General features: G+C 46.8%; 1 protein-coding gene across 7 annotated transcripts in view, besides 5 other annotated features; it reads right to left on the bottom strand.

The window, feature by feature from the left end:
* The window catches only part of PKNOX1 (PBX/knotted 1 homeobox 1), a 59,370-nt gene that overhangs the window by 37,859 nt on the left and 6,374 nt on the right, over nucleotides 1-15,137 (bottom strand). For 2 of the 7 annotated variants that reach the window (XM_047440826.1, XM_047440828.1), the window contains exon 2: nucleotides 3,363-4,173. The exons of the other annotated variants lie outside the window; for them this stretch is intronic. The gene's annotated coding sequence lies outside the window, so the exon portion shown is untranslated. The remainder of the gene's footprint in view (nucleotides 1-3,362; nucleotides 4,174-15,137) is intronic. 7 annotated transcript variants of the gene reach the window in all.
* Nucleotides 3,091-3,614: an enhancer, noted in NCBI's record as "H3K27ac-H3K4me1 hESC enhancer chr21:44412569-44413092 (GRCh37/hg19 assembly coordinates)". NCBI's record gives its function as "activates a minimal SCP1, AML or CMV promoter by ChIP-STARR-seq in naive H9 embryonic stem cells {active_cell/tissue: H9 hESC(naive)}" and the evidence as "EXISTENCE:reporter gene assay evidence [ECO:0000049][PMID:30033119]".
* Nucleotides 7,063-7,229: a silencer, noted in NCBI's record as "fragment chr21:44408954-44409120 (GRCh37/hg19 assembly coordinates)". NCBI's record gives its function as "represses an EF-1alpha promoter that drives an FKBP-Casp9 reporter gene in an ReSE screen in K562 erythroleukemia cells {active_cell/tissue: K562}" and the evidence as "EXISTENCE:reporter gene assay evidence [ECO:0000049][PMID:32094911]".
* Nucleotides 13,343-13,882: an enhancer, noted in NCBI's record as "H3K27ac-H3K4me1 hESC enhancer chr21:44402301-44402840 (GRCh37/hg19 assembly coordinates)". NCBI's record gives its function as "activates a minimal SCP1, AML or CMV promoter by ChIP-STARR-seq in naive and primed H9 embryonic stem cells {active_cell/tissue: H9 hESC(naive and primed)}" and the evidence as "EXISTENCE:reporter gene assay evidence [ECO:0000049][PMID:30033119]".
* Nucleotides 13,883-14,424: an enhancer, noted in NCBI's record as "H3K27ac-H3K4me1 hESC enhancer chr21:44401759-44402300 (GRCh37/hg19 assembly coordinates)". NCBI's record gives its function as "activates a minimal SCP1, AML or CMV promoter by ChIP-STARR-seq in naive and primed H9 embryonic stem cells {active_cell/tissue: H9 hESC(naive and primed)}" and the evidence as "EXISTENCE:reporter gene assay evidence [ECO:0000049][PMID:30033119]".
* Nucleotides 14,425-14,965: an enhancer, noted in NCBI's record as "H3K27ac-H3K4me1 hESC enhancer chr21:44401218-44401758 (GRCh37/hg19 assembly coordinates)". NCBI's record gives its function as "activates a minimal SCP1, AML or CMV promoter by ChIP-STARR-seq in naive H9 embryonic stem cells {active_cell/tissue: H9 hESC(naive)}" and the evidence as "EXISTENCE:reporter gene assay evidence [ECO:0000049][PMID:30033119]".

Below are 15,137 nucleotides of genomic sequence, written 5' to 3'. Positions count from 1 at the left end.
TGGCTAATTTTTAAAAATTTCTGTAGACATGAGGTTTCACTTTGTTGCCCAGGCTGGTCTCAAGCTCCTGGCCTCAAGCTATCGTCCTGCCTTGCCTCCCAAAGCACTAAGTGCCTTGCTAACTTTAATAAGGGTCAGAATAAGTTTTTCTTTAAAAATATAAATACATAAATGAATAGATGGGGAGCAGAAAAAGCTCTAAAATACAAGAGTTCTCTAACGTGTAGAGGATGACGACAGCTTTCAAACATCACCATTCGGCAACCACCACAGTAAGCCGTTTCAGACAGGAATCATCGATGGATGCTAACACTAGTTTGTGAAAGTATGAGAAACAGGAAATGTACATAATCTCAAAGTACCTGCCACAAGATACATTTCATTTTTTATTTTTTTGAGATGGGTTCTTGCTCTATTCCCAGGCTGGAATGCAGTGGCAAGACTCTGGCTCACTGCAGCCTCAACCTCCCAGGTTAAAGCAATCCTCACACTTCAGTCTCTTGAGTAGCTAGAACTATAGGCACATGCCACCATACCTGGCTAATTTTTGCATTTTTTTGTAGACAGGGGTCTCACTCTGTTGCCCAGGCTGGTCTTGAACTCTTGGGCTCAAGCCGTCCTCCTACCTCCGCCTCCCAAAGCGCTGGGATTACAGGCATGTGCCACAGCACCAGGCTCAAGACACTTATTAATTACAAAGGGAAAACAATGATGCAATGAAAAGGATACACTCTACTGGCTTCTGTGCAGTCCTTCCTAAAATGCAAGCTGTGAGTCCAATCCTCAGGACACACCCAGGAACCCAAACTGAGAGGCACTCTATAAAGAAACTGGCAAAAATAAAAGTAAACGGCCAGGTGTGGTGGTTCACACCTGTAATCCCAGCACTTTGGGAGGCTTAGGCAGGTGGACTACCTGAGGTCAGGAGTTCGAGACCAGCCTGGCCAAGATGGTAAAACCCCGTCTCTACTAAAAATACAAAAATCAGCTGGATATGGTGGCAGGCACCTGTAATCCCAGCTACTGGGGAGGCTGAAGCAGAAAAATCGCTTGAACCCAGGAGGCGGAGGCTGCAGTAAGTCAAGATTGCGCCACTGCACTCCAGCCTGGGCGACAGAGCAAGACTCTGTCTTAAAAAAAAAAAAAAAAAAAAAGAAGAAAGAAAAAGAAAAGAAAAGAAACAACAACCAAATGTGGTATGTGATCTTGGTTTCAAAAACAAACACTGTAAAAGACAACTTAAGGAAATTTGAGGAGATGTGAATATATAGTATTATATACTATTAGAGATTGAGTGTTATTTTGATGGTGTGATAAAGCTATAAGCTCACAGCATAAATATCACCATTTTGAGAAGTACGTGCTCAATGTTTAGTTGTATGACCATGATATCCAAAACTTACTTTCAAATGGATCAATAAAAATATAAACATAAATAAATTGGGTCCAGATAACAATAACTGTTGAATCTAGGTAGCAGATAATCAAGATTCTACTCTCAGATTGTCTTTCAAAATGTTCATAATATGAGGGAAAAGTCAGAATTTCAAAATGTATAGATTGGTAGTCCTTCTCTCTAACAAAACTGGTTAAAACAGTCAGGTACAGTGGCACGTGCCTGTAATACTAGCATTTTGGGAAGCCAATGTGGGTGGATCACTTGAGGCCAGGAGTTCAAGACCAGTCTGGCCAACATGGTGAAACCCCGCCTCTACTAAAAATACAAAAATTGGCTGGGTGCAGTGGCTCACGCCTGTAATCCCAGCACTTTGGGAGGCTGAGGTGGAAGGATCGTTTGAGCTCAGGAGTTCAAGACCAGCCTGGGCAACAAAGTGAGACCTTATCTCTACTAAAAATCCAAAAATTTAGCTGGGCATGATGGCACATGTCTGTAGTCCCAGCTGCTTGAGAGGCTGAGGCAGGGGGATCACTTGAGTCCGGGAGGTCGAGGCTGCAGTGAGCCGTGATCATACCACTGTACTCCAGCCTGGGCGACAAAGGGAGACCCCGCCTTGCCTTAAAAAAAAAAAAAAAAAAAAAAGGCTGGGCGCGGCGGCTCACACCTGTAATCCCAACACTTTGAGAGGCTGAGCCAGTGGATCACCTGAGGTCAGGAGTCTGAGACCAGCCTGGCCAACATGGTGAAACCCCGTGTCTACTAAAAATACAAAAATTAGCCGGGCATGGTGGCGTGTGCCTGTAATCCCAGCTACTCCGGAGGCTGAGCCAGGAGAATCACTTGCACCCGGGAAGCGGAGGCTGCTGTGAGCCCAGACTGCACCACTGCACTCCAGGCCAGGCAACAGAACGAGACTCTGTTTCAAAAAAAAAAAAAAAGAAAAAAAAAGAGTTAACGAATACCAAATTTTAAAATATACTACAAAGCCACAGTAACAGCAAAAAAAAAAAAAAACAAAAAAAACAAAGTGGGTAACCATACAGGAACAGACCCACAGGCCAAGGGAGCAGGAGAAATAAGGCAGTAGACTTGCCAGGGCTTTTTAAATGCCAAAAATGCATAAAGTTTTAGAATTGTGAAAAAAAAAAAAAAGTTTTAGAATTGTGATGTTTTTACGAAAATCTCTTTGGACACAACCACTTCCACAAACTGAAGGTGCTGGTGGAACAGTCAACAGGAGTGGGGCCAGTCTCGCTCCCACCTAACCCTGCAGCAGGGCAACGTGGAGGCCCGGCCCAGCCACTCAAGGCGCCTGGAAGCTCGGCCCGCGAGTCCTGTTGATGTAGGCCCTGTGGAGGCGAGACGGACATTCGTTCAGTCAGCGTTTTGAGTGTCAGGAGAAGAATGGAGCTTCGTGAGGGGAGGAAAGGGGCAGTGAGGGCAGACAGAGCTGTGTCTACTACATGCCAAGGCCAGTGCATCCCCCAACTCTATGGCATTTCTCCCATCGAGACACGAGGTCTTTGTCCCTTCCTCTGCAATCCAGGCTGACCTAGTGACTCATTTGAGAACAAGAGAATGCAGTGGAAATGATGGTGTGCGACTCCAGAGCTGGGTTAGAAAAGGCAAGGAGGCTTCCATCTTGTTCATAGTGACACTCCGACTACCAGGAAGCCCCATGCTGTGAGGAACGCCCCCCTGACACTGCTATGAGAAAGCCCCCTAATGACATAAAGGAGACCCCCAGTGCTGAGGAAGCCCCCCAGTGCTGTGAGGAAGCTCGCAATGATATCAAAGAAGCCCCCAATGCTATTAGGGAGCCCCCGATACCGTGAGGAAGGCCCCCATTGCTGTGAGGAAGCCCCCCAGTGCTGTGAGAGAACCCCCCAGTGCTGTGAGGAAGCCCCCAATGCTATGAGGGAACCCCCCAGTGCTGTGAGGGAACCCCCAGTGCTGTGAAGACCTCCTCTAATCTGTGAAGAAGCCCAGGTCCTGTGGAGTCTGCACGTGTGCTCTGGTCAGTATCCCCAGCTCGTGTTCCAGCTGACGGATTTCAGAAAGCGCCTCCAGAAGATACCATTCCTCAGTCATTACGTCACCCCCAGCCGCTGAGTCGTCCCAGCTGAGGACTCAGACATCCTGGAGGAGAGACGGCCACTTCCTCTCCATATTCCTGGTCCACAGAATTTGTCCACATAATAAAATGGTTTTTTGCCACTAACAGTGTGACCGGGGGGTTCACACTAGCTGTGACCAGACTACTCTAGAAGACGCAGATAGGTTAGTTGTCCTTGTTTCCCTGTTGAGGACACAGATGTACCAGAGGTTGGGTGACTTCAATCTGTCCAGCTCCAAAGCCCTGCTATTTCTTCTACACAGCCTGACCTCTGACGATAAAATAATTGTGCTTCTAAGATAAGGTCGAACTCACAAGGACAGGACACTTGTCAACAATCTGTACAACTCTGGTGCCTGCAACAGTGAATTACATCAATTCAACCTATGAATTACGGCATTATTCAAAATGGGAAACACAGGGTGAGCTGATGAAGCAGCTGGCCCATGAGGCAAGCACCACGAAAGACGCTCAGCTGTGACCAGAATGCAGCTTCCGAAGCCACATGAGTGTAACATGCTCTGCAGGGTCTGAAGAAAGTGATGTCCTGTGGCTTATTTGTAGTAGTGCATCTCCAGCAAGAGCAAAGGTTTGGAAGCTGAGTGCAGTGGCATGATCCAGCTTGGCTGATAGAGCAAGATCCCATCTCAAAAAGTAGCTGTAAGTCAGTAAGTACATAAATAAATAAATAAGTTAAAATGTTATTACTAACAATTCACATACTAAAAACTGCCCAGGGTTTCTTTTTAGTTATTTTGTCTTTAGGATTTACCCTGCTAGGATGTACAATACAATTTGTTTTTTTGGTTTGTTTTTTTTTTTTTGAGACGGAGTCTCGCTCTGTCGCCCATGCTGGAGTGCAGTGGCACGATCTTGGCTCACCGCAAGCTCCGCCTCCGCCTCTGGGGTTCACGCCATTCTCCTGCCGCAGCCTCCCGAGTAGCTGGGACTACAGGTGCCCGCCACCATGCCCAGCTAAATTTTTTTGAATTTTTAGTAGAGACGGGATTTCACTGTGTTAGCCAGGATGGTCTCAATCTCCTGACCTCATGATCCTACTGCCTCGATCTCCCAAAGTGCTGGGACTACAGGCGTGAGCCACCACGCCTGGCCAATACAATTTGTTTTGAAGTCACTTGAAATAACTCCTCTCTGTATAGTTAAGCCACCAACTCAATTTGTGGTTTGGTTATTTTTATTCGTTTTGCTTTCAGGGTTTTTTTTTTTTCTTTTTTTGTAGAGATGGGGTCTGGCTGTTTCCAAGGCTGGTATCGAACTCTTGGCTTCAAGCGATCCTCCCACCTTGGCCTCACGAAATGCTGGGGTTACAGCTGTGAGTCACAGTGCTCGGCTGCTTTCAATTTTTAGAGACTACTTCCCCCCAACTTTTGACTTCATTTTATTTTAAAACTATATTAAAACATCCATATAGTTTTGACAAGGTTCAGGACATGCTACCCCAAAATGTGGCACCTGGGCACACTGAATATTTGAAGCTGAAAGAATTTGAGAAGCAGCTTGTGCAGGAACATCTCTCTGACCTTCCCCAACCCTTCTCTCCTGAGGCAGGTCACGAAACCTAGGAAGGACTTTCTGACCCTCACCCAAAGCAGGTGGTAAGACCCTCATGTGAGAAGTGCCCTCCGTATCTACGGGGGGAGGAAACATGCTGACCTCCAAAGAAGGATACAGAGAGAAATCTGAACAGACCTTGCTAAGTTTCCCCCAGTTCATTGCGTTTAGCTCACACTCCTCCTATCATAGTTCTCCATAGCTTTTCATTGCTCATCAAACCTAACACAAAACCACTCAGGTTTAACCATTTCCTTGGGTCATTTCCTTATAAAGGCTCCCATGTCATGTAAAACTTATATTACATAAATTTGTGTGCCTTTCTCTTTTGTAAATCTGTCTTCTGTTCCAGGAGCCCCAGCCAATGAACGTAAGATGGGTAGAAGGAAAACATCTTTCCTCCCCTAGAGTTCCATGATCAGTACTATAGCAGATATGGCCAGAAATCCAACTTATAACACTGCCCCTTCCCTACTCCACAGGGAACCCCATTTTTACTAGTCTGGGGGTTAGCACCTTTATCATAAGCCAGTCTTCATCTGCCTTCCTTAGATAAAAGGCTATACTCTACAAACAGTTCTGAGCCTCACTTTTTTCACTTGCTAAGGATGCATCCTAGCAGTGTGCTCCACTATGCAGACTGACCAGACCCCAGCTGTGAACATGGATGTTTCCAGGAAGCCACAGTGGATCGTTACTTATTATTTATTTATTTATTTATTCATTTATGACGGAGTCTTGCTCTGTCACCCGGGCTGGAGTGCAGTGGTGTGATCTCGGCTCACTGCAACCACCACCTGATTTCAAGCAATTCTCCTGCCTCAGCCACCCGAGTAGCTGGGATTACAGGCACACTGTGTCCGCTTATTATTATTATTTTTTTTTTTTTGAGACAGGGTCTGGCTCTGTTGCCCAGGCTGGAGTGCAATGGCACCATCTGGCTCACTGCAGCCTCGACCTCCCTCACTCAAGCAACCCTCCCACCTCAGCCCCGGAGTAGCTGGAACCACAGGCATGCACCACCACACCCGGTTTACTTTTGTATTTTTTGTAGAGACAGGGTTTTGCCATGTTGCCCAGGCTAGCCTCAAACTCCTGAGCTCAAGCAATCTGCCCTCCTTGGCCTTCTAAAGTGATGGGATTACAGGTGTGAGCCACCATGCCTGCCCATGATTATTAACTATGCCTGTAAATGATATGTTAATATCCCTCTATCTAATGCTTCCGCCTTGAGTTCAGCTTGTCTAACATTTTAAATCTGCTTTTTGGCTGGGGGCGGTGGCTCACGACTGTAATCCTAGCATTTTGGGAGGCTGAGGCAGGCAGATTACTTGAGGTCAGGAGTTCAAGACCAGCCTGGCCAACGTGGTGAAACCCCATCTCTACTAAAAATGCAAAAATTAGCCAGGCGTGGTAGCAGGCGCCTGTAATCCCAGCTACTCGGGAGGCTGAGACTTGAGAGAATCACTTGAACCCTGGAGGTGGAGGTCGCAGTGAAATCGAGATCACATCACTGCACTCCAGCCAGGGTGACAGAGTGAGACTGACTCAAAAAAAATAAAAAATTGAAACAGAAACATACATTTAAGTAATCAAGTAAAATACATCTCTAAGCAATGTTATCCTGACCAGTCAAAAGATCCATGAGAAAACTATCACAAAAGCTGAAAAAAATGGAAAAAAACTGAAAAAAACAGGTTGGGGATAGGCCGGGCCCAGTGGCTTACATCTGTAAGCCCAGCACTTTGGAAGCCCGAGGCGGGAATATTGCTTGAGTCCAGGAGTTCAAAACCAGCAACATAGTGAGACCCTTTATCAAAAAAAAAAAAGTTGGAAATTATTCAGTCCCTTTTTACGTTTATTTTACAGAAGAAATGAGGAAAGAGACATCAAACAGAAAAAGGAAGGGATGAGGGAGATTCTACAAAGAAAGAAGTCCTGAGAAGCCAAAGACCAGTGAGGGGGTCCTCATCCAGCCCGCAGGGTCCCCAGCCTGAGAAGTCAAAGACCAGTGAGGGGGTCCTCATCCAGCCCGCAGGGTCCCCAGCCTGAGAAGCCAAAGACCAGTGAGGGGTCCTCATCCAGCCCGCAGGGTCCCCAGCCTGAGAAGCCAAAGACCAGTGAGGGGGTCCTCATCCAGCCCGCAGGGTCCCCAGCCTGTAGACCCTAACCAGTATCCCAGGGACCAGGCTCCCTCTCATCAACCCACTCCGTTCCTGGGCCAGCCCTGACCAAGGAGCCTGCCCTGCTGTCCCAGTGGCCTGGGGGATCAGCACAACTGCTCTCGGTGAAGCATGGGAGCCACCGGAAAGAATCTGACCCTCCACAGTGACTCTCAGCAAAGCGTGTCCCAGCGCTCAATGGGAACTAGTCACTGAAGCAGAGTTCTAGACTTCAGCTGTTAGAACTACTCACATATATTCCTTTACAATTCTAATGGTGATTTAAGAGCTATTTCTTTAGGCTCAACTTTTACATAGACAATACTGTATACCAATCACAGCAAGGCATGAGTCAGCTGAAGGAGAGTAGCTCACCAAATCCCCATGTGTTTTTCATATCTCCCAACAGTTCTGCTATTTGATTCCATTTAGATCCAGACCAACTTTGATTTGGTCCAAGTAAGAACTGAGGGCTGGCCGGGCACAGTGGCTCACGCCTGTAATCCCAGCAGTTTGGGAGGCCGAGGTGGGCGGATCATGAGGTCAGGAGTTTGAGACCAGCCTGGCCAACATAGTGAAACCCCATCTCTACTAAAAATACAAAAATTAGCTGGGTGTGGTGGCACGCGCCTATTTCAGCTACTCAAGAGGCTGAGGAGGGAGAATCACTTGAACCCGGGAGGCAGAGGTTGCAGTGAGCTGAGAGTAGGCCATTGCACTCCAGCCTGGGTGACAGAGTGAGACTCCGTCTCAAAAACAAAAACAAAAACAAAAAGAACTGAAGGTGTGGGAGGTGTGACCAGCAAACATTTTCTGTAAAGGGCCAGAAGGTAAATATTTCAGGTTTGTGGGTCACATACTGTCTGTATTACGTATGCTTTCTTTACAGGTCTTTAAAAATGTAGAGGCCGGGTGCGGTGGCTCACGCCTGTAATCCCAGCACTTTGGGAGGCCGAGACGGGTGGATCACGAGGTCAGGAGATCGAGACCATCCTGGCTAACATGGTGAAACCCTGTCTCTACTAAAAATACAAAAAATTAGCCAGGTGTGGTGGTGGGCACCTGTAGTCCCAGCTACTCTGTAGGCTGAGGCAGGAGAATGGCGTGAACCCAGGAGGCAGAGCTTGCAGTGAGCCGAGATCGCGCCACTGCACTCCAGCCCGGGTGAAAGAGCGAAGACTCCATCTCAAAAAAAAAAAAAAAAAGTAGAAACCATTCTCAGCCCTAGGGCCATACAAAAAAAAGGTCAGTGGGATCTGGCCCATAGGCCTGTGGTTTGCCAATCCCTGACCAAAATTATAGCTGTTCAAAGACAAGTGATACTTTTTAAAAAATCTTACTAGACTTTCTTTTCCTCTTTCTAGTACCCAGAGGAGTCAGAAAATCTGAGTATACATATATATATATATATATATATATTTTTTTTTTTTTTTTTTTTTTTGAGAGGGAGTTTAGCTCTTGTTGCCCAGGCTGGAGTGTAATGGCACGATCTCAGCTCACTGCAACCTCCGCCTCCCAGGTTCAAGCGATTCTCCTGCCTCAGCCTCCCGAGTAGCTGGGATTACAGGCATGCGCCACCACGCCCAGCTAGTTTTGTATTTTTAGTAGAGACAAGAGTTTCTCCATGTTGGTCAGGCTGGTCTTGAACTCCTGGCCTCAGGTGATCTGCCCACTTTGGCCTCCCAAAGTGCTGGGATTGCAGGTGTGAGCCACCGCACCTGGCCTGAGTATACTTCTTTAAATCCACCTAAAATGTGCTCTCTGACTCAGTTTAGTGACACTATCCTGTGTACTGTAATGTAATATACTAGACGCTGCCTTGCTGGAGGAGTCCACACAGCCCCATCCCCCTCACCAGGTGCCGCGCCTAGCAGAGGACCAACTCCCAGAGTGCCACCTCCTAGCTGCTACCCAGAGCAGTGTTGACTAATGAGCAGCCACAATTCCACTGGAAATTCTAGGGTAATTCCAGTTCTAGCAAACAGTAACACTGAGGCATTTATAAAGCCAGAAAACGACTGAAGACAACACAACAGTCAGATCCAGAGACTGCATCTCTAGGTATTGTGTTTTGTTACCAGTCCTCCCAAAATACCTTCTCCAGGACACCTTTTAGGACACTAACTATACATCATGACAGTTAAGTGAGCTTTCATTTTGTGTGTGAGAAGTTTTAGGCACCTGTGGTTCAGAAACCACAAGCCAGTTGTCCATCTCTCTTCCACCCTGGCTTCCACAGCTCCTATTCCAAAGAGATGTTCAGTCAATAAATGACTCATTCTGAGGAAAACATTTGTCAAGAAATCACTTTTTTTTTGTTTTTGAGACCAAGTCTCACTCGGTCACCCAGGCTGGAGTGCAATGGCATGATCTCGGCTCACTGCAATCTTCACCACCCAGGTTCAAGGGATTCTCCTACCTCAGCCTCCCCAGTAGCTGGGATTACAGGCACCTGCCACCATGCCTGGCTAATTTTTCTATTTCTAGTAGAGATGGAGTTTCACCACCTTGGCCAAGACGGTCTTTAACTCCTGACCTCATGATCCACCCGCCTTGGCCTCCCAAAGTGCTGGAATTACAGGCATGAGCCACTGCGCCCAGCCATCACTTTATTTTTCAAACAAGGTTTGGCGAGGTATCATTTGAAGTGTAATATTCAAATAAAATCATAGATCGTAAATCCTGTTAAAATCTGTATCAAAAAGTATTTCTAACCCAAAGGCCCACATATGTCCCCTAAAGACAAAACAAAATTCTAGTATCAAAGGTATTTTACATTTTAATGGTTTTGCAATTTTTTTTTTAATTTTTTTTTTTTTTTCTGAGACAGAGCCTCGCTCTGTTGCCCAGGCTAGACTGCAATGGCACGATTTCAGCTCACTGCAATCTCCACCTCCCAGGTTCAAGCAATTCTCCTGCCTCAGTCTCCTGAGTAGCTGGAATTATAGGCACCCGCCACCATGACCAGCTAATTTTTTTGTATTTTTAGGAGAGACTGGGTTTTGCCATGTTGACCAGGCTGGTCTCAAACTCCTGGTCTCAAGTCATCCACCCGCCTCAGCCTCCCAAAGTGCTAGGATTACAGGTGTGAGCCACCACGCCCGGCCTGCAATTTGTTTTAACAGACTCTGAGCTGGATGGTCTGTTACAGCTGGTAAATTTAAATTCGCATCAAAGTTTTAAGACCCTGGCCGGACGTGGTGGCTCACTCCTGTAATCTCAGCATTGTGGGAGGTCGAGGCAGGCAACTTATTTGAAGTCAGGAGTTCGAGACCAGCCTGGCCAACATGGCAAAACCCCGTCTCTACTAAAAACACAAAAATGAGCCAGGTGTGGTGCCTTGCACCTGTAATCCCAGCTACTCAGGAGGCTGAGGTCAGAGAATCACTTGAACCCAGGAGGTGGAGACTGCAGTGAGCCAAGATCACTCCCCTGCACTCCAACCTGGATGACAGAGTGAGACTCCGTCTCAAAACAAACAAACAAACAAACAAAAACCAAAAAACAAACAAAAAAAGGAACAGAAAGAAAATAAGGGGCCAGGCACAGTGGCTCACGCCTGTAATCCCAGCACTTTGAGAGGCCGAGGAGGGTGGATCACCTGAGGTGAGGAGTTCGAGATCAGCCTGGCCAACGTGGTGAAACCTGTCTCTACTGCAAGTACAAAAATTAGCCGGGCATGGTGGCGCATGCCTGTAGTCCCAGCTACTCGGGAGGCTGAGGCAGGAGAATCGCTCGAACCCGGGAGACAGAGGTTGCAGTGAGCCGAGATCGTGCCATTGCAGTCCAGCCTGGGCAACAGAGCGAGTGAGACTCCATCTCAAAAAAAAAAAAAAAAAAAAAAAAAAAGAAAAGAAAATGAGGAACCCTAACCCTTGGAGGCAAGGACCCCTTTCCCATGGACAGCCTCTCTCAGGCACTGCCTACACTGGGCACACAGCACTGTGGAACTGGCACCTGCACTCCCTCCCTGCACAGCAGCCACCCCTCTCTACTCTCCCTGTCAGCACTAAGCTTGGTGGGTCAGAGGGACTCCAGCTTTCGGATGGCAAAACACAGAAAGTATCAAAACCTAAATACTCAAAAGGCTCCACAACATAGAGCATGGCCGTAAAATAATACAAAAAACTGGAACTGGCCGGGCATGGTGGCTCACGCCTATAATCCCAGCACTTTGGGAGGCCAAGGCAGACAGATCACCTAAGGTCGGGAGTTCGAGACCAGCCTGAACAACATGGAGAGACCCTGTCTCTACTGAAAATACAAAATTAGCCAGGCGGGGTGGCACATGCCTGTAATCCCAGCTACTTGGGAGGCTGAGGCAGGAGAATTGCTTGAACCCAGGAGGTGGAGGTTGTGGTGAGCCAAGATCATGCCATCGCACTCCAGCCTGAGCAACAAGAGCAAAACTCTGTCTCAAAAAAAAAGAAAAAGAAAAAAACTGGACTCACAAAAGTGTATGAGACCTTAAATTTTTAAAACGAGAAATGTGTGGATTATATAAATGTTTTAAAAATCACTAAAATGCCAACTAAAAGCATAACACAATATAGCTTAAAAAATATGTAAAAACGTATGAACATAGCCAGGCACAGGGGCCCATGTCTTTAAGTCCCAGCTCCTTGGGAGGCTGAGGCAGGAGTATTACTGGATTACTTGAGCCCAGGAGTTGGAGACCAGCCTGGACAACATCATGAGACCCTGTCTCTTTAAAACACACACACACACACACACACACACGCACACACACGCACACACGTATGCATGTAAGAAACCCAATTCAAAAAGGGGCAAAGGACTTGAAGAGATATTTCTCCAAAGACATGTAAATGGCCGATGAACATGTGAAAAGATGCTCCACATCACTAATTATTAGGGAAATACAAATCAAAATGACAGTAAGATGCCACCTCAAATCCATTAGGATGGCTGCTATTAAAAAAAGCAACAACACATAAGAAAATAAGTGTTGGGTAAGATACGGAGAAACTGGAACCTCTGTACTGTTGGTAGGAATGTAAACTGATACTCTCTCCTTATTGAGTCCTTGGAAAAATAAAAAATAAATTAAATTAAAAGGAATATAAAACAGTACAGTTGCTGCGAAAAATCGGATGGAGGTTCCCTAAAAAATTAAAAACAGAATTCCAGTATGATCCAGCAATCCCACTTCTAGATCTATATCCAAAAAAATTGAAAGTAGGATCTCGGAGAAGTATTTACACACTCAGGTTCACAGTTTTATTATTCAAAATAGTCAAAAGGTAGAAGGAACTCAAGTGTCTGTTGAGGGATGGATAAACAAAATTCAGTATATCCACACAATGGAGTATTCAGCCTTAAAAAGGAAGGAAATTCTGACACACACTACAACATAGATGAACCTTAAGGACATTATGGTAAATGAGCTAAGCTGGTCACAAAAAGACAAATACTACCTAATTCCACTGGTATGAAGTCCCTATAGTAGCGAAATTCAGAGACAGGAAGTAGAATGGTGGTTGCCAGGGGCTTCAGGGAGGGGAGATGGGGAGGCAGTGTTTAATGGGTATAGAGTTTCAGTTTTACAAGATGAAGGGTTCTGGAGACAGATGGTGGTGATGGCTGTACAAAAGTATGAATGAACTTACCACCACTGAACTGCACACTGAAAATGGTTAAGATGGTAAATTTTGTTACGTGTATTTTACCATAACAAAAAATTGGAAAAAAAAGGCCAGCCACAGTGGTTCATGCCTGTAATCCTGGAACTTTGAAAGGCAACAGTGGGCAGCTCATCTGAGGTCAGGAGTTCGAGACCAGCCTGGCCAACATGGTAAAACTCCATCTCTACTAAAAATACAAAAATTAGCCAGGCGTGGTGGTGGGCACCTGTAATCCCAGCTACTCAGTAGGCTGAGGCAGGAGAATTGCCTGAACCCGGGAGGCAGAGGTTGCAGGGAGCCAAGATTGCACCACTGCACTCCAGCCTGGGCAACAGAGCAAGCCCCTGTTTCGTGGGGGAAAAAAAAGTATGCTCAAATACGTAACTAAATTTAGAAGAACGTAAAGTTTAGCAATTTAATGTTTATTAAACTTTTTTTTTTTTTTTTGAGATGGAGTTTCGCTCTTGTTGCCCAGGCTGGAGTGCAATGGCGCGATCTCAGCTCACCATAACCTCCACCTCCTGGGTTCAAGTGATTCTCCTGCCTCAGCCTCCCAAGTAGCTGGGATTACAGGCATGCACCACCACACCCGGCTAATTTTTTGTATTTTTAGTAGAGACAGGGTTTCTCCATGTTGTTCAGGCTGGACTCGAATTCCCGACCTCAGGTGATCCACCCACCTTGGCCTCCCAAAGTGCTGGGATTACAGGCGTGAACCACTGCACCCGGCCTTATGCTCCTTTTTCTTGTCAAGTTAAATTCCTAACATTTTTAATGCAAAAAAATGTACAAACCTTCATAAAATGTCTGAGAGAACATGTAACAAAACACATGCGCTCACTCAGGCATTATGTTCTGGAAACTGTGATCATAGTACCTACCAATCCACAGCCCCTTTGAGTGACCCAACCCCACTGGCAGGCCCTGCTCAAAGGGGGCCTTCCTTGTGCAGGTGTCAGAAGCTCATTCCTCCCCAAGCACCACTCCCTGGGCCAGGTAGCCCTGCAACACCCAAGGCCAGCCCCCAGCCCGAAGGTCAGCGCCTGGTAGGTGGTGTGAGGGGAAAGAGCACAGGCACTCTCTCTGAGGTGGGTGCTGGAAAAGGGAGAGTACAGGGCAGGTAAGGCTGGGTGAGCCCCCACTGTGAGGGGAGCGTACAGATGGAACAGACAGTGGAGGGCAACCACCTAATTGAAGCGGAAGGCCAAGAGCCCTGGTGCAGAACTGGATCCTGCCAGAGCACAAACCATGGTTCCATCTGCCCAGAGGCCCAGCAACAATACAGTGGTCCCAAGAATCCCATAGACTCCTGTTTTCTTTATCCCTGCATGATCCTGAACCACCTATCTCACCACCCACCCAACTTGAAGTCAGCCTGCTCCCTGCCACCCTGAGAACCCGACTAAAACAGCCAATCATTCCAGCGTCAATCGCAGACGGCAAACAGTACAATTAGCTGGGTGTGATGACACGTGCCTGTAATCCCAGCTACTTTGGGGGCTGTGGCGGGAAGATTACTTGAGCCCAGAAGCTCCCGGCTGCAGTGGGCCGAGATCGTGCCACTGCACTCCAGCCTGGGTGAAAAAGTGAGACCCTATCTCAAAATAAAATAAAATTAAAATTAAATAAAATAAATAATAAAATAAAATAAGCTGCTCTGTCCCCTTCTCAAGTCCCTGAGGCATGGCCTCAGAATCAGAGCTTTAAACAGGAGTTTTATACCACATGCCAGACAACACGTTGACTGAATTACCACACTGCCTTCTATGTGAATCTTCCAGAAACAGTAACTAAACCGGCAGGGGCTAATAATCCAAAACAAGGAGCTACCATCTGCCAAGGGCGGGAACAGGCCAGGCTCCAGACTTTGCACACTGTCACGAGCAGGGCACCGCCAGCACCAGGCCTGCTGGCTCTTTCCACCAAGGACCATGCCTCTCAGCCCTTGAGTGCTTCTCCTAACAGTTTCCAGACTGACCTTCTTCTATGTGATATGTCCACTCTACATGTCCTCCTGAACAGTGTACACAAGACAGAACCATGAGGTATCCACTCAGTGCTGCACACGGATGCAAGATGGTACTTCCCAGGGCCTGCAGCCACTTCCTTCACCCTCACCTCCAAGGACACACACTGTTAGGCTTTGGGTTCCCCTATCTGTGCCGTTTTTATTTCCTTGTCTCTTTTGTCATCAATATAATCATTTGAGGAAGTAAAGAAAGGACACCATATATTCCTACAAA

This window comes from Homo sapiens, chromosome 21 (assembly GCF_000001405.40).
Source record: "Homo sapiens chromosome 21, GRCh38.p14 Primary Assembly".
Classification (NCBI taxonomy): domain Eukaryota; kingdom Metazoa; phylum Chordata; class Mammalia; order Primates; family Hominidae; genus Homo; species Homo sapiens.
The sequence above is the reverse complement of the archived record's forward strand: the minus strand, read 5'-3'. Positions and strand labels throughout refer to the sequence as shown.